Below are 17,633 nucleotides of genomic sequence, written 5' to 3' on the forward strand. Positions count from 1 at the left end.
TCAGGCTGTAGAATTCTCTGGTGCTGAGGCCTCTGCAGGCTTCTGTGGAGAAGATATCCCACAGAGGGACCTGCACTTAGGCAGGTTACAACTGTGGTCTCCTGATCTTTCTCCGGAAGCCCCAGAGGTACCTGTGGTCTAAGGAAAAGAACCCTTGGCTGAGTCATAGGACCTAGATTCTTTGCCTTCGCTTCAGACAGTAGAGAGCAGTGGTTAAAGCATGAGATTTGGAGACAGGCTTGGATGAGAACCCCAGCTCCAACACTAGTTTGCTTTGTGGACTTCAGCAAGTCATTTAACCTCTTGAAGTCTCTGTTTCCTTATTTGTAAAATGAGAATAATAAAGGTAACTACTGTACAGGGTTTTTGGGAAGACTTAATGAGATAATATACACAAAACGCCCAGGACATTGCCTAGCACTTAGTAGGAGTTTTGTAAATGGTGGTTGCTTGCCCTTAATATGAAACAGTGCCTGCAAACACAGAACCTTAGCAAGTTTCAGTGAGTGGAAAACATCCCTTCCCATCTCTATCGTCCCTGCTCCAGTTGACAGCCTCATTACCTTTGGCTGGGACTAGTACAGTAGCCTCCTAGCGTAACCATCCACACCCATCTGGTACCTGTCCTTGGGTTACTTTTGCTGTTACTTTGACACCTTTCTTGGCTGCTTATAATAATTAAATTTAGGTCAAATTTCTTTTCCTTCCTTCCTTCCTTCCTTCCTTCCTTCCTTCCTTCCTCTCTTTCTTGATGGAATTTTCACTCTTGTTGCCCAGGCTGGAGTGCAATGGCACAATCTCGGCTCATCACAACATCCGCCTCCCGGGTTCAAGTGATTCTCCTGCCTCAGCCTCCTGACTAGCTGGGATTACAGGCATGCGCCACAACGCCTGGCTAATTTTTTTGTATTTTTAGTAGAGACAGGGTTTCTCCATGTTGGTCAGGCTGATCTCGAACTCCCGACCTCAGGTGATCCGCCAGCCTCGGCCTTCCAAAGTGCTGGGATTACAGGCGTGAGCCACCACGCCCAGCCAATTTAAGCCAAATTCCTTAGCTCAAGGGCCTTTGTAAATTGCTCCAACACATTTTTTTTTCTCCCAATCGTTATGGTGAAAAAGAACAGAATGTGAATCTGAAGACAGGGGTCCAGTCCTGGGACCATCCGCTTTCTCCCTACATGACTTTGAGTATATCATCTCAGTTCTACATCTATACATTAGAGATCATTATGCTGCCTCATGGGATGCATCCATCTTTCCTGCTGAACTGTGAGCCCATGGTCAACAGGCAGGGATGAAATGCATCTTGCTCACACTGTATCTTCAGTACCCTGCATGGGGCCTGACACCGGGTAGATGTTCAGCACGTATTTGTTGAATGAATGAATGAATGAATGAATGAATGAACAGGGTTGTGAGGACTGGATTTGGCATGATCCAGGTAAAGCGCCTTGCACAGTCACCAGGAGACACGCCCATATGGTAGCTGTTGCTACGCAGGTTACTAAGTGGAATGACTTTAGACACATTACTTCTCTGGAAACATTCACGTATCTGTCCTAGGAGAGGATAGAAGGGACTCCTGCCTCGTTTTGTGCATCATTAGGTCGTGTGTGCAGAAGGAGCTCAATAAATGCTTCCTCGGTGGATAAAGCATCTCCCAAGGCTCCACTTGGGGCTAGCGCTGTCTAAAGAGACTGAGTTCCCTCATTGGGGCCTGGTTCTTTTCTGCTCTTTACCCTGCGGGGAAGATGAGGCCTTCTTTGGGTCCCTCCTTCATTCAGTTCCAGAAGCCCAGCAGATAGGTGGGCCTATAGGACCCGCAGGATCTGCAGGACGCTCTCCGAGAGCTGGAGCAAGAGCGCCAAGGGCGGGGACGGAATGTGGGTTTAAGGGAAACGGGCGAAAGAGGGGTGGGCATGGAAAAGGGTGGTTTGAGAACCAGGGGCCAGGCAGAAGGACAGCCCGGCAGCCTGAGAGAGCGACTGGGGGGCGGTGAGGAGCTCCAAGGGGGCGGGTCGGCTGAGCTGGCCCAGGGTCAGCTAGCGGCCGCGGGGCCGGGGCGGAGAGGTCGCAGAGCAGAGGGCGGAGAATTTGGGGGTGTGGTTGGCCTGCGGGGGACACCGGAGGCCACTAGGGAGGAGTTGCAGAGGGGAGGGACCGAGGGAGGGCCTGGGGGCGGCCAGAGGACGCGGGGTCAGTGAGGAGGGGGCGCCGGGCGACGGACTGGCAGGGGCGCGCGGGGCGGGCGGAAGCGCAGGGGTGGGGTGCAGGGCGGGGGGAGCGCGCATCGGGGGGCGGGGGGCGGCGTCGGCGCTGGGAGTGGGGGAGCGGGTTGGGCGGCTGCGCCGGCTCTGCTTCAGCCGCTGCCGCTAGGGCGCGGGGGGCGGGGGGCTCGGCGCCGCGAGCTCGGCCATTGTGGGAGCCGCTCCCCTCGGCTCCGCCACGCTCCCCTCGACTGCGCTCCAGCCTGGGGCGCGCCCGGCCGCCGCCGCCTTCGCTGCCGCCACGGGCCCGTCTTCTTCCTCCTTCGGCTCCCAGGGTAAGGCGCGGGGCGCGGGGTTGGATGCAGGCGCCCTGCCCGCTGCGCGGGATGCGCAGCGGCGGCTGGGGAGCGGTGATTGATCGCCCCCGGCGGCCGCGCCCCAGCTCCCGGCAGCCGGCGGCCGCGGACAGGCGGCTTGACAGGCGCGGGCACAGCGGCAGTGCGGGCCTCGCACCTGCAGCCCCCGCGGCCGGCGCCGGGGAGCGGCGAAGACTCGGAGCTGGGGTTTCCCCTCTGCGGGCGCTGCCAGGGTGGAAGGGAGGCGTGTTCCCCGGGAAAATGGGACACGGAGCCCTGCAGGGGCCGGGCGCCGGACCTTAGGGAGCGGGCAGGGCTGGGCGGGGAAGGTCGCTTCCCGGCCCCAGGGCTCGGCCGCTGGCCCCAGCGCCCTGTCGGTCCTCGGTCGCGCGTCCCCGCTCTTTGTCAGCCACGCTTGGCGGGCGCGCGGACCCACCCGCGCCGCCCCAGGCTCGCGGGCGCGCCCCTCCTCCGCCGTGGGGAAACGGGTGGGGGCCAGGTGGGGAGGGTCGCAGGGGGTGAGAGCACCTGGTGAGGTGCCTGTCGCCGACCGGCCTGCGGCCTAGGGGGTGGGCTGGGGCTTGGGCGGGCACTCCTGTGAGTCTCGGGGATTGATGGAATGACCCAGGTGGCCGAGGGTCGGGCGGGAGCCCGGAGGTCAAACAAGTGTTTGTGAGGGGCCGGAGATTGACGGGGTAGAGCCCAGAAGGGACGCTTTCTCCGGGAGGAGGCCTTGGGAGAGCCGGCCTTTGTAGTGAAATGGGCGTCTTGGAGAGGAATGGGCGGTTCTGGGATGAAGCAGGTGGTCTGAGAGGAGGGGCATTTTTCCTGCCCCCGAGCTGAGGGTAGGGATGGAAGCTTGGCCTGAGTTTCCCAGAGGTTGAGGCTGTCACTTCAGCACCTGCCCTGGCACTAGAAGGTAATGGGAGGAGGGGTAAGTGCTAAGATAAAGGGCAAAGCTGTGCCAGGACCTGGGTCCTTTCCTTTCTGCTTCCTGTGGCTAGATCCCTTCTAGATGTTCTTTGGGAAGAGGGCTCACACGCTGCTGGCACAAGGGGTGCCCTGGCAGGGAGGCTCTGCTGCCCGAGGCTGCCTACAGGCCTCCTACACCATTTTTATGTTTCTTTTGTTATCTCTTTGAATTCTGTGCCTATGGTGGGGATCTGCCAATGACCCAGGAGGCTGTCTCTGCCCCTTGCTGCCTCTAGGCTCAGATTCGAGAATCCTGGAGGAGCTGTGGCCACAGACCCATTGTGTCCAGCCATGTAGGCTACCTCGCTGTCTCTACACAGCCCTGTGAGCCGGTATTCCCTATAAGGGAAAATCAACAGCTCTTGCCCTCCCTGGACCCTACAGCCAAAGTCAAAGCTGGGTACCCAGGTTGGCTTTGCGGCCTGTAGGAAGGCTGGTAGCTGAAGGCACATACCATTTGTGCTCTGATGGAGCCCTTGGGGTGGTGGGCCATGTGTAGCAGATGGTTCTGGGAAGTGAGCTTGACCTGGCTGAGGGAAGGCTGCCCAGTCTGGCTGGTGGAGCCCAGCTGGCCTTAGAGCAATTGTATTTTCACTCAACTCTCTCCACTAGCTAAACTGACCAGAAAAAATGGGCTTTCTGTCCCATCCCCCCACCCCATCCTCATGCTGTGCCACGTATTCCCACAACAGCCCTTGGAATAAGCAAATGAACATTTAATCTAATGCCTGCTGGGTGCCATGCATGGCATCAACCAGTACTACATTTGCATTTGACAATGTTCTTAAAACATCCTCTGAGGTGGAATATTACCCCCATTTTGCAGATGAAGAAACTGAGTCTCAGAGAGGTGAAGTGACTTGCCCAAGATCACAGCAATTGTAAGTGGCCAAACCAGAATATATACCCAGGTCTGTCTTACTTCAAGTCTGGTACATTTTCTAATATATCTGCTGGAGACAGAGTGGGAGAAACCAGAGAATTTCTGCCTATTCTAGCCCATGGTTTGCTTCTTGCCTGCTATTGAGATCATGCTTTAGCTTTTTGAAAATACTTCCCATCTGTTGCCCCACTTTATCCTTATAGCATTCCTGGGAGGTAAGTAGAACAGGAATATAATAATAGATACTGTGTATTGAGTGCTTACTGGGCAGTGGGCACTATTAAGCACTTTACATGCAGGATTAAGCACTTTACATGCAGAACCCAACCCTATAGGGCTAGGTTCTAACTGTCGTCATCCCCATTTTGTAGATGAGGGTGCTGAGGCTCAGAGAGATTAAATGGCTTCTCCAGGGTCACACAGCTAGTAAATGGAGTAGAATTTAAACCCACAGCATTCTGTCATGGGATCTGTGAGCTTAATCCTCCAAATGTGCCAAATAGCAATAATAATAGTTCCTAGGAATAGGAGCTAACTTTTACATGATGCTTTAAGATTTATAGACATCATCACATATAATATCCCCCAAACCTCATGAATTAGTTTTGGGATGTATTGTCTTCATCCCATTTTCCAGGTGAAGAAACTGAGGTACAGATAGGCAGGACTAGAACCTCTGCTTCCCAAGTCCCAGTGTTCCTTATGGGACCCCTTTTGTCTGCTCACATTCACCCCTTTCTCCTTCAGATCACTTCTCCCTGGGCTCCCAGGCCCTCCTGCAGCAGCCCCCGCCTGGGCCATGTCTTCCTCAGATGAAGAGACGCTCAGTGAGCGGTCATGTCGGAGTGAGCGGTCTTGTCGGAGTGAGCGATCTTACAGGAGCGAGCGGTCGGGGAGCCTGTCTCCCTGTCCCCCAGGGGACACCTTGCCCTGGAACCTGCCACTGCATGAGCAGAAAAAGCGGAAAAGCCAGGATTCGGTGCTGGACCCTGCAGAGCGTGCTGTGGTCAGAGTCGCTGGTAAGAGAGGTCCCCCAGCAGGCTGGACGCTGTGGGTGTGAGGGAGGAATGGGCCAGGGCACAGCAGCTGTGTGGGGAGCCGAGGGGTCCTCACCAGGGCCTCTGACAAAGCAGCCATCATCTGATTTGTTATTATTATTCTTGGAAAGACGTTGAAATAACATTAACGAAAAACTCAAAAGAGGAAAATCTGCCACCCCTTGCTCACGTGAGACCTGTTTTCATTTCTGCACCTTCTTCCCTGTCTTTGTCCCCATTCAGTTATATTTTCTATGCAGTTGCCTTCATGGCTTAGGTACCATTCTGCATCTGACTCTTTTCAGTTAATCTTATATTAAAAAGATTTTCCATATTGCACTTTAGACTTTATGGTTACCATTTCTAAAAGCTGTCTATTTCATGACTTTCTAAATCCTACTCTTTTTTCACTTTTTGGCTATATTAGACAATGCTGCTGAGAACATGGTTAAGAATGATTTGACTTCTGTTATTTCCTTATAATGAAATCCTTGGAGAGTACAGTTTTACTTGTATCGCCTTCCAAAAGTGTTCTACATGCTGACCTTTCACACGACGTGAAGGCTGGGGCTACCTCCTGTGGTGGGATGTGCCCAGCTCTTTGCCAAGCAGCAGCACAGTGCTGTAGTTATGAGTGTAAGCTTTGGAATCAGAGAGGGTAGGGTGCTGGATCGTGGCCCTGCCACTGACCAACTGTGTGACTCTGGGCAAGTCCCTTATTCTTTCTCAGTGTCACTTTCCTTGTCTTAAGAATGCCCACTGTGCAGGGATGCCTTGAAGGTTAGATGAAATAATGTGTGGAAAGCCCTTAGCACAGTTTTTGGCTCAATAAAGGAGATGCTTCCACTGAAGGCATCCACAGCTGCCTCCCTGAAGTGTGCTCAGCATCTCAGCAGGGTGTTGGTGTTACAGTACGGATAGGAAGATAGAGCAGTGCCTGCAGCTAATTCAGTGACATCACCCGCTTTCAAGCCGTCACCAAGGCCTGTACTGCTACCTTCTTTGTGTCCCTCAAATAATACAGCCACCCCCTCCACTGTGTCATCTCTCACCTGGACCTTCCAATGAGCATTTAATAGCTCTTCCTCTCTTAGTCTTGCCACCATCCTCCACGTGACTAATAGAGTATTTTTTTCTAAAATACAAACCTCAAGAACACATATTCTATTTTATGAAATGAAGTGCTGCCTGTACAACACTTCATTAAAAATACAATAAAAAATAAAATAAAATACAAACCTAATTCTATTACTCGGCTGCTTAAAAACCACCTTTGGCCCCTCATTGCCTGTGGAATCAAGGCTTCAGCATAAAGACCCATCAAAATTACTTACCTCTTCAGCTTCACCTGCCACCACCTCTACCCCCAATCACCCTGCCACAGTACACTGTAACTGGACCCCCAGAGGGATGCATCTTGCAGGATGAAACCACCACACTTTAATTTTCTTCTCTGCAAGATGCTGGTAAACCCTCCTCCTCTTTTAAGTGCCGCCTCCTCTGTCCTTAATGCCCCCAGTGGTATCCAAAGCTTCCTCCTCCGCTCTCACAGTCATACTTTTCTCTCCTCCATGTTCCCTTGTTCAATGTAGCAGTTAACCCACAGGGTGCCCATCACTCCCTTAGAAGAGTGAGCAATTTGGGATGTGTCTTATGTTTTGAGCCCCCGAGGGCTGCACGGGGCCTTGTACATGCTAGAGATCAATTGGTATTGAATGACTGAATGAATGCTGAATGAGTGTTTTGAGGATATTATGTGATGTGACAGACTGTGATCCAGAAACAGGCACTGAGCTATAACGGAAAGTTAGAGAAAGGCTTATGTGGGCTCAGGTAATCAGGAAAGGACTTTAGAGGGAATGAGCTCCAAGTGAGGAGACAACAGTGGGGCCTGGAAGGCAGGAGGGAGAGTTGGAGCTCTTTCTAGTGGGCAACGAGGAGTCCTTGGAGGAAGTCCTTCTCAAAACCTTTGGGCCTGCAGCATCAGCCAGTAACAGAATTTTAGAGCTGTCCCTAGGGTGCAGGAAGGGGTTTACTTGTCCCCAGTCTTGAAGGGCCATAACTCAGGGCCCTGATGACTCATAAACCTCTTTCTCCTGAAGAGAGAGTGGGCTGTCTCATTCTTCCTTCTTTATGCCCTCTGCCTCCATCCTTCATCACTCATGCATACTTAGATCGTTTTGTGATGATTTCCACTTCCAGTCTTCTCTGAGGAGGCCCACGGGATGATTTGCTTGCTGCTTCAGATTTGGAGTCTAGAATAGAAGTGGAGTGGACTCAAGGAGGCTTAATTTTACACAGGCAAGGCTCCTAAGGACCCTGCTGGGTCAACTGAGCAAAGGGATGGTGGGTGCTGCGCTGTGCTGTGTTTCTGGCATAGATGCTGATCTCCTTTGCATCCTGACACTGCTGAATGCCTCTTTTGAGGAGGGGGCTGGGCCAGTGAGGCTGAAAATGGGGAGACTGCCATGGTTAAAAATAACTTGTGCACTGCAGTTGGGCGTGTTTCTTTAGCAGGAGAGGAGAGAGGCAGCAGAGACGAGGCGGGACTGCGACTTTAGGGTCTTGCTGAAATCTTCATGTGATTTTAGAATGCTGTGGGGGCTCCACCAGAGTAATGGAAAAGGCAGCCTTAGCTCTGCAGGGACTCCTTCACAGGAGGTGCAGGGGGGCATGTCTGGGAGACCCTGGATGCTCTGAAGCTCTCTGAAGCAGAACTTTAATTGTGGGAGGAAATGAAGTCAGTCTTACGCTGGAAGCCAGCTGTGGCCTGTGCAATTTTCTCCTCCCCCTGGATCTTGCTTATGAAGCCAAGTGGGGGTGTCTGAATCACTCTCACCAAATAGAGATCTTCCCTTTCCCTGGCCCACTCCGTGTCCTGAGCTGGTCTTAGGGCCTCGCCCTTGCTTGAGAGGCCTGATGGGGCAAGCCTGGTGGTCACACATGTCAGAGTAGAGAGGGATGTCGGGGCTGAGAAACCTGCTGATTTCAGTCTACAAAGCCAAACAGGTTTTAGGGTGCTGAACCTTGTTCTTCTTCCCATCTTCCTGTTCTCATCCTTTCCCTACATTTGTTTCTCCTTCTTCTTTGCCAGCCATATTCTCAACTCCCTAAGCCCAGCCACATTCAAATGTAACAAGAGTCACTAATGAAAGTGTCTTGTTTCGGTTTATCAGCTTTATGGTTTACACAGAGATTTCAAAATAACTCTGTTAGGCAGGACATATGTTAGCATCCGAGGCTCAGAGGGTTTAGGGGACTTGCCTATAGTTACACAGGACTGGTAAACACAGATCTTCTAACTCCAAGTACATTGCTATTTCTTTTTTTTTTTGAGACAGAGTCTCACTTTGCCACCCAGGCTGGAGTGCAGTGGCGCAATCTCAACTCACTGCAACCTTCACCTCCCGGGTTCAAGCAATTCTTCTGCCTCAGCCTCCCGAGTAGCAGGGATTACAGGCGTGTGCCACCATGCCCAGCTAATTTTTGTATGTTTAGTAGAGATGGGGTTTCTTTTTTTTTTTGGAGATGGAGTCTCGCTGTCGCCCAGGCTGGAGTGCAGTGGTGCAATCTCTGCTGGATCTCAGCTCACTGCAGGCTCCGCCCCCTGGTTTCACGCCATTCTCCTGCCTCAGCCTCCTGAGCAGCTGGGACTACAGGCGCCTGCCACCTTGCCCGGCTAATTTTTTGTATTTTTAGTAGAGACGGGGTTTCACCATGTTAGCCAGGATGGTCTCCATCTCCTGACCTCGTGATCCGCCCGCCTCAGCCTCCCAAAGTCCTGGGATTATAGGTGTGAGCCACCGCGCCTGGCCCGAGATGGGGTTTCACCATGTTGGTCAGGCTGGTCTTGAACTCCTGACCTCAGGTGATCCGCTTGCCTTGGCCTTCCAAAATGCTGGGATTACAGGCGTGAGCCACCGCACCCGGCCCTGTACATTGTTATTTCTATTTCCTTAGGCAATACCTGGCAACCAGCCCAGTCTGAATCTTCTGTAGTTGACAATCTAAATCTCCACACTCACCTGAGAGACTTGGTCACTTCCGGGAAAGGCCTCAGGATCCTGGTCTATAGAACCAGGAAAGGGGAGAGACAAAGATCTTGGAAAATTTGCCTCTTCCCCTCTGGCTCTCTGTCTTTAGTGAAGAGCAGTAGAAATATCCTTACTTAATGGTGGGGAGCAACAAGGAAGTGGGGCGCTAGGGAGCTTACTGTAGCAAGGAGTACAACCCCAAAGGGTAGAAACAAAGAGAGGAAGAAATGATGTATCCCTTGGGACCTGTGGGGAGTATATTGAGAACAGGGTGCAAGACAGGGTGTCACATGGCTGTACACTGCACAACCCTTGGGGGTGCGATTCACATCACATTTGTTGTCATTGCAGACGTGTACATTTATTATTACAAGTTTCCTGCAGATGGCAGTAACATGTTTTGAAGAAGGGCTCATGTTTGGGCTAGGGCACGGTAGGGTGCAGGAAGATTCCACCATCTACCCATCAATCAGGTATTCATTCATCTAACATCACATAATCAGGACCCTCCCTGTCCTTGGCATTGATATTCAAAGATGACTGAAGATGTGGTCCCTTCTGCATGGAACTCAGTCTAGTGGAGAGGACAGAAGGGAGAAAAGGCCGGGTGTAGTGGCTCACACCTGTAATCTCAGCATTTCGGGAGGCCGAGGCAGGAGAATCATTAGAGCTAAGGAGTTCAAGACCAGCCTATGAGACCCTGTCTCTATTTTTTTTTTAAGTAGTTAGAAGGGAAAAAATAATTATATCCCCGTATGTGTTGTGAAAAAGGGGAGTGCAGTGACTCAGAGCTAAGGATTGGATCCCTCTCTGGTTGTTCATTTATTCATTCCTTCAACTAAAAAAGGGGTTAAGCTATGTGCCAGTAGAAAGCATCTATGGGATTCATTCCTAGGAGTATCAGCAAATGCTGCTGAAATAATCATTCCCAACATCTGCTCCATTGTGGCCTTCTAGTCAGACGACAATTGTCTCTCTGCACAGCCCTTGTTTCAGTTGGCTTTATATTCACGTTCATTGTTCCCAGGTTCATTTCCCTCACCAGCTCTGGAGGTCTCTGTAGTCAGGAGTCCCATCTTACCCTTTTTGCCCTGGGACAGAGAGCCATGAGAGCACTACCTGGTCAGAAGCTGGAGCTTACTCCTCTGGGCCCATGTGTCTCTCCTCCAAGTTGGGAGCTCTGAGAAGACATCTCACAGGCACCTCTCTGCTTCATTCATTCATTCAATAAAAAAAATGGATTAAGCTCCTGCCATGTGCCAGGCACTGCGGAGATAACTGAATCTGGAGTTACAAGACTTAGGCAAATGACCTCACTTCTTGGATCCTCAGTTTCCTTATCTATAAAAGGGAGATGGTGATAAAGGGTGTAAAAGGGAAATGAACGAGAATCAGAATGTGCTGGAAAAACACAGGTTCACATGGCCCGTTACTGCACTTAACAGTGTCATTCCTTGTAACCTCCCTGGCAGCCAGATGAGGCAGTGGAGACTCAGGAGGCCAGCAGTTTCCCAGGCCAGCAAAGAAGGAGCCCAAGCCTCTTATTTCTGTCCCCTTCTTTTGTTCTTTAGGCCTTTGTCAGGGAGCAGATGGAAGTGGCTTATTCTGGCCAAGCCGTGAGTGGGAAGAAGGGAATGCAGGGATGGGAAATGGAACCCTAAAGACAATCTCATTGGGAATCCTTACTCCTCAGCTGCCAAACTTCCTTGCCCTGAGGCTCTTCGAGTTTTGTATCCAGGAAGGCTCCTCCTCCTTCCCAGCTTCTCTACTTCTTCCTGGCAGTGTCCTCAGAGTCTCTGGCCCTGTCCTGGAGCTTGGTTTCAGTAGCAGCAGAGAAGAGCAGAGGAGAGTGCCCTGAAAGTGGGGCAGAATGAATTGTAGCTACACACCACCAGCTCAGCTCCAGCTCTTTGAAAGTAAATCTGGGTCACATTAGCTGTGGGCTGGAACATGACCACGTGGGCAGAATTCTGTGCAGGCAGCAGAAAAGACAGCCAATCTGTCCTTTCTCTGAGGTGCAGGGCCCCTGTGGGACCCCAGTTGGTGAGGGAAGGTGGTTTCTGGATTGCAAGGTGTAATGCCATCTTAATGCCATCATGCTTTTCTAATGACATCCTAGGTGACATAGAGAAAGGTATGGAATGGCAGTTTGGCTCATGCCTTTCTGTTTGTTATGGGAGAAGCCTAGGCTGAAGGTAGGAATGCAGAGGAAGGACTGGTTACTTTGGGGACTGTGGAAGGCCATCATTTCTCAGTCTCATGGGCTCAGGGGTTAGATGCCACCAGAGTAGCTGACACTGCAGCAGGATCTAGGGCTGCACTTGTTCTTTATTTCAGCAGTCCTCCCCTTGAGGAAAGGTCTGTGAACAGATCCATCATCACTAAAGTGTTATATGGAGCCTGGCTGGCCTCCTTTTTCTGGTTGCTGTGGCTAGGGCCTGCCATGATTTGGCCCGGCCACTGCTTGTTGCCACATGTCAGTTACAAGCCTGCCAGCCTGAAAGCCCTGTCTTGGCTTTCCTGTAGGAGCAGAATAGGTGTCCCTTGCTGGAATCTCTGCCTGGATCTGGGATACTGCTACAGGGAAGGTCTGAAGCCCCTATAACTTGAAGGGTGATGATTATGAGCTGAAGCTTCTGTCTTAAGCTGTGCCCCACCCCTACCCCAGAAGATACCAGGCTTTTGCCTTGTGGTCAGGGGAGGATTCTGCCTGGGGCCTCAGTGGATGTCTCTGGGATGCCCTCCCCCACTCATTCACACATTTCTTCATGTGCTCACTCTTCCATTCATTCACGCAAAGGGCTGGCTTTGGGAGTCAGCTGGAGCCCTAGTTTCATTGCTCACTTGCTAATTGGGTGACCCTGGGACGTTAGTCACTTCATTGAGCCTCAGTTTCTTACAGTTAAAATGGGGGAGCAAGAGCACTACCTCAGAGACTTGCACAGTAGATTAAATAAGGTAGTTGGGAGTAGGATGCTTGGCCCAGTACCTGCTATATATTCAGCCCTTGATAATTTTTTTTTTGAGACAGAGTCTCGCTCTGTCACCAGGCTGGAGTGCAGTGGCACGATCTCGGCTTACTGCAGCCTCCACCTCCCAAATTCAAGCGATTCTCCTGCCTCAGCCTCTGGAGTAGCTGGGACTACAGGTGTGCGCCACCATGCCCAGCTGATTTTTGTATTTTTAGTAGAGACCCATGGTGGGTTTCACCTTGTTGGCCAGGATGGTCTCAATCTCTTGACCTCGTGATCCACCTGCTTTGGCCTCCCAAAGTGCTGGGATTACAGCCACTGCACCCGGCTGCCCTTGATACATATTAGCTCTTTTCATGAATATCATTCATTCACTCATACACTTGTTCATAGATTCATGAATGTGCTGATTTATCCCCTTGCTTATTCACTGATTACACACTTGCTTATTTAACAAATATCCCTAGGGCTACTTTGCTCTAGGCTCAGACTGCACTTCAGAGCCCAGCTCCTGCCTATGAAGACCGTTAGAATGCAGCATGAACTGAGCTACGTTGCAAGTCCAAAGAGTTTTGAGGAAGTTCTGGAAGGGAAGGCACTTCTACTCCTGCCCCTCCCTGGCTTAGAGCAATGATAGTATTTCTTCTGGGGCTGGGAAAAGAAATAGGAATTAGCCAGGACAACCTGAAGAGACAGGGCACTTCCCGGTGGTTTGCATCTATTCTTGCTCTCCTTTCTTTGGCTTTCGTAGGAAGGAAAGAAGGAAAATGAAGAGAGAACAGCTGGTGAGAATTAGGAACTAAAGAATCTAGACGGTGGTTTGGGGAGTGAACTCTGGACTCAGTTTAGGAGCACCTTAGAGCTGGTGCCAGCTGGGTTCCTCCGGTGAATAATAGCTGGTAAAGTCACTGTGTAGAGTCCTAGATGGGTGCCAGGCATTTTACATACATCATTTAATCCTCATAGAACCCTGGGAAGTAGTTGCTATTCTCAACAGAAATGTTAAGTAACTTGTCTGAGGTTATACACTGAGCAAATAATGGAGCTGGGATTCAGCATTACTTAATGTGCATGGCGCCCCCTGGCCCTCAACATGTACAATATGCCCTTTGCAGTTATTCAAGTGCTGAGTTTCTGGTCAGCCTAACTCCAAAGCCCTGGCACTTTTCAGGATATTTCAAACATAGTAAAGTAGTGAGAATAGTACAGTGAACCCCCATCACCCAGAAACAAGAATGATCAATTAATTCATGGCCAATTTTATTTCATTCATACACCGCTGTCAGTGGAAAAAACACAGTTCCTGTTTTTTCTTTTTTCTTTTCTTTCTTTTTTTTTTGAGATGGAGTCTCTCTCTGTTGCCCAGGCTAGAGTGCTGTGGTGCCATCTCAGCTCACTGCAACCTCCGCCTCCCGGGTTCAAGCAATTCTCTGCCTCAGCCCCCCGAGTAACTGGGATTACAGGTGCCTGACACCATGCCCAGCTAATTTTTTTGTATTTTTTAGTAGAGACGGGGTTTCACCATCTTGGCCAGGCTGGCCTTGAACTCCTGACCTCATGATCCACCCGCCTGGGCCTCCGAAAGTGCTGGGATTACAGGTGTGAGCCACCGCGCCTGGCAAGTTCCTGTTTTTCCATTCTCTTACTCAACAATCAACACAAGAAGACTTCTGTGACGCCAAGATATGTGGGGACTTCTCCCCGCCAGCAAGTTAAACAATAGTTCTGCAGTGGACACCAGCGGGGTGTCCTCCAGTTCAATTACAACACTGTCTACCTGGAAATAGCATCAGATCTCACAGTTTGAGGGTTCAGTCCCCAAGACATTCCCCTACTCCACTTCTTTTTTTTTTTTTTTTTTTTTTTTTTTGAGATGATGTCTTGCTCTTGTTGCCCAGGCTGGAGTGCAATGGCTCAATCTCTGCTCATTGCAACCACCGCCTCCTGGGTTCAAGGGATTCTCCTGCCTCAGCCTTCTGAGTAGCTGGAATAACATGTGCGCGCCACCACGCCTGGCTAATTTTTTTTTTTTTTTTTTTTTTGAGACGGAGTCTTGCCCTGTCACCAGGCTGGAGTGCAGTGGTGCGATCTCGGCTCACTGCAACTTCTGCCTGCCGGGTTCAAGTGATTCTCCTGCTTCAGCCTCCCGAGTAGCTGGGACTACACGCACACGCCATCACACCCAGCTAATTTTTGTATTTTTAGTAGACACGGGGTTTCATCATGTTGGCCAGGATGGTCTTAATCTCTTGACCTTGTGATCTGCCCACCTTGGCCTCCCAAAGTGCTGGGATTACAGGTGTGAGCCATCACGCCCGGCCAAGGGATTCTTTTCTTTTTTTTGAGACGGAGTCTTGCGCTTTTGCCTAGGCTGGAGTGCAGTGGTGTGAACTTGGCTCACTGCAACCTCTGCCTCCCGGGTTCTCCTGTCTCAGCCTCCTGAGTAGCTGGGATTACAGGCGTGCGCCACCACACCTGGCTAATTTTTGTATTTGTAGTAGAAATGGGGTTTCACCGCGTTGGCCAGGCTGGTCTCGAACTCCTGACCTCAGGTGATCCACCGCCTCGGCCTCCCAAAGTGCTGGGATTACAGGCGTGAGCCACGGTGCCCAGCCCCACCCCACTCCACTTCTAATGCCAATCACAAGACTCAGATTTTTTTTACCTGTGCTTCTGACTGACTGGCTATAATGGGGTGCTGGCTGGGTGCAGTGACTCATACCTGTAATCCCAGCATTTTGAGAGGCCAAGGTGGGAGGCTCGCTTGAAGCCAGGAGTTCGAGACCAGCCTGGATAATATAGTGAGACCCCGTCTCCACAAAAAATAAAGCAAAATTAGCCAGGCAGGAGAATCGCTTGAACGCGGGAGGTGGAGGTTGTGGTGAACTGAGCTCACGCCATTGCACTTCAGCCTGGGCAACAAGAGTGAAATTTTGTCTCCAAAAAAAAAAAAAGAAAAGAAAAAAGAAAGAAATCGGGCCGCGCATGGTGGCTCACGCCTGTAATCCCAGCACTTTGGGAGGCCCAGGCGGGCAGATCACCTGAGGTCAGGAGTTCGATACCAGCCTCAACACGGAGAAACCCTGTCTCTACTAAAAATACAAAATTAGCCGGGCGTGGTGGTGCATGCCTGTAATCCCAGCTACTCGGGAGGCTGAGGCAGGAGAATTGCTTGAACCTGGGAGGCGGAAGTTGCGGTGAGCTGAGATCGCGCCATTGCACTCCAGTCTGGGCAACCAGAGCGAAACTCTGTCTCAAAAAAAAAAAAGAAAAAAAGAAATTAGCCAGGCGTGGTGGTATGCGCCTGTAATACCAGCTACTCAGGATGCTGAGGTGGGAGGATTGCTTGAGCCCGGGAGGTCAAGGCTGCAGGGAGCTGAGATTGTGTACTGCACTCTACCCTGGGCTACAGAGTGAGACCGGATCTCAAAACAAACAAAACAAAAACCACAAAACACACAGAGGATACAGGTGAAGAGATGCAGAGGGCAAGGGCGAGGTATGGAAGAAGGAATGTGGTGCTTCCATGCCCTCCCTTGTATGCCACCCTTCAGGAATCTTCACGAGTTGTTATCCTGGAAGCTCCCTGAATCTTAGGCCTTTCATGGAGACTTCCTTGGGTAGGCATGATTGACAACCATGCAGAAATGTGATTGGGCAAAAAGGGTATGTCTAACACTAACAGTGTGGAAACCCAGCAAAGCCTGGCTGTTCAGATTCTGCTTGAATTTTCTATGTAGTATTCCTTCCCCCAGGGTATGGGGCAAGACTCCTGAAATAGGGGTCTCATGATTATAGTCAGAAATGTGGGGGAAGGCGGCTGGGTGCGGTGGCTCACGCCTGTAATCCCAGCACTTTGGGAGGCCGAGGCGGGCGGATCATGAGGTCAACAGATCGAGACCATCCTGGCCAACATGGTGAAACCCTGTCTCTATTAAAAATACAAAAAAATTAGCTAGGCATGGTGGTGCGCGCCTGTAGTCCCAGCTACTCAGTAGGCTGAGGCAGGAGAATCATTTGAACCCAGGAGGAGGAGGTTGCAGTGAGCTGAGATCGCGCCACTGCACTCCAGCCTGGTGACAGAGTGAGACTCTGTCTCAAAAAAAAAAAAAAAAAAAAAAAGAAATGTTGGGGAAGGCTGAGAGTGGTGGCTCACACATATAATCCCAGCACTTTGGGAGGCCGAGGAAGGTGGATCACTTGACACCAGAAGTTCAAGACCAGCCTGAGCAACATAGTGAGACCACCATCTCCACAAAAAAAAAAATTAGGTGTGGTGGTGCATGCCTGTAGTCCTAGCTACTTGGGGGCTGAGAAAGGAGGATCCCTTGAGCCCAGGAGGTCATGGCTGCAGTGAGCTATGATTGTACTACTACACTCCAGCGTAGGCAACAGAGTGAGATGGCTGTCTCAAAAAAAAAAATGGCTGGGTGCAATGGCTCATGCCTGTAATCCCAACACTTTGGGAGGCCAAGGCAGGAGAATCACTTGAGTCTGGGATATCAAGACCTGCCTGGGCAACATAGTGAGACCTTGTCTCTAGAGAAAATCAAAAAATAATCCAGGCGTAGTGGCACATACCTGTGGACCCAACCACTCAGGAGGCTGAGGTGGGAGGATCATTTGAGCCAGGGAGATGGAGGCTGCAGTGACCCATGATCGCACCACTGCAGCTGTGATCATCATCATCCAGCCTGGGTGACACAGTGAGACCCTGTCTCAAAAAAAAAAAAAAAAAATTGCAGGAAAGATTGAGTCTTGCTTTGGGAGGAAAAAGAAACAGGTGAAAGGAGGGCAGGAGGGCAGAAAGATTCTGTTTTCTAAGACTTGACTTGCTTCTGAGGTCTACAGTGCCTCAACATTATAGCAGAAAACTATGACAAGGGCTATAGAAGTTATGAGCCAGGAACTGTGAACGAAAAAACCCATATATTGCAACCCCACTTCTCCCTCCCCAGTTATGTATAAGAAAGTTCCGGTAGCTGGGTGCAGTGGCTCATGCCTGTAATCCTAGCTACTCGGAGGGCTGAGGCAGGAGAATCACTTGAACCGGGAGGCAGAGGTCGTAGTGAGTCGAGACTGCGCCACTGCACTCCAGCCTTGGTGACAGAGCAAGACTCTATCTCAAAAAAAAAAAAAAAAATCAGAAAGTTCCCGTAATCACATACTTCT

General features: G+C 50.9%; 1 protein-coding gene across 1 annotated transcript in view, besides 1 other annotated feature; it reads left to right on the forward strand.

The window, feature by feature from the left end:
- Nucleotides 2,512-2,691: a silencer, noted in NCBI's record as "silent region_692". NCBI's record gives its function as "represses an Ori minimal core promoter by ATAC-STARR-seq in GM12878 lymphoblastoid cells {active_cell/tissue: GM12878}" and the evidence as "EXISTENCE:reporter gene assay evidence [ECO:0000049][PMID:35858748]".
- MACF1 (microtubule actin crosslinking factor 1) overlaps nucleotides 5,166-17,633 on the forward strand; it is a 402,972-nt gene continuing 390,504 nt past the window's right edge. The window contains exon 1 of the mRNA NM_012090.5: nucleotides 5,166-5,437. Within this exon, the coding sequence (NP_036222.3) occupies nucleotides 5,218-5,437 (220 nt within the window). The 5' untranslated portion in view covers nucleotides 5,166-5,217. The remainder of the gene's footprint in view (nucleotides 5,438-17,633) is intronic.

The sequence above is a fragment of the Homo sapiens genome, chromosome 1, assembly GCF_000001405.40.
Source record: "Homo sapiens chromosome 1, GRCh38.p14 Primary Assembly".
Classification (NCBI taxonomy): domain Eukaryota; kingdom Metazoa; phylum Chordata; class Mammalia; order Primates; family Hominidae; genus Homo; species Homo sapiens.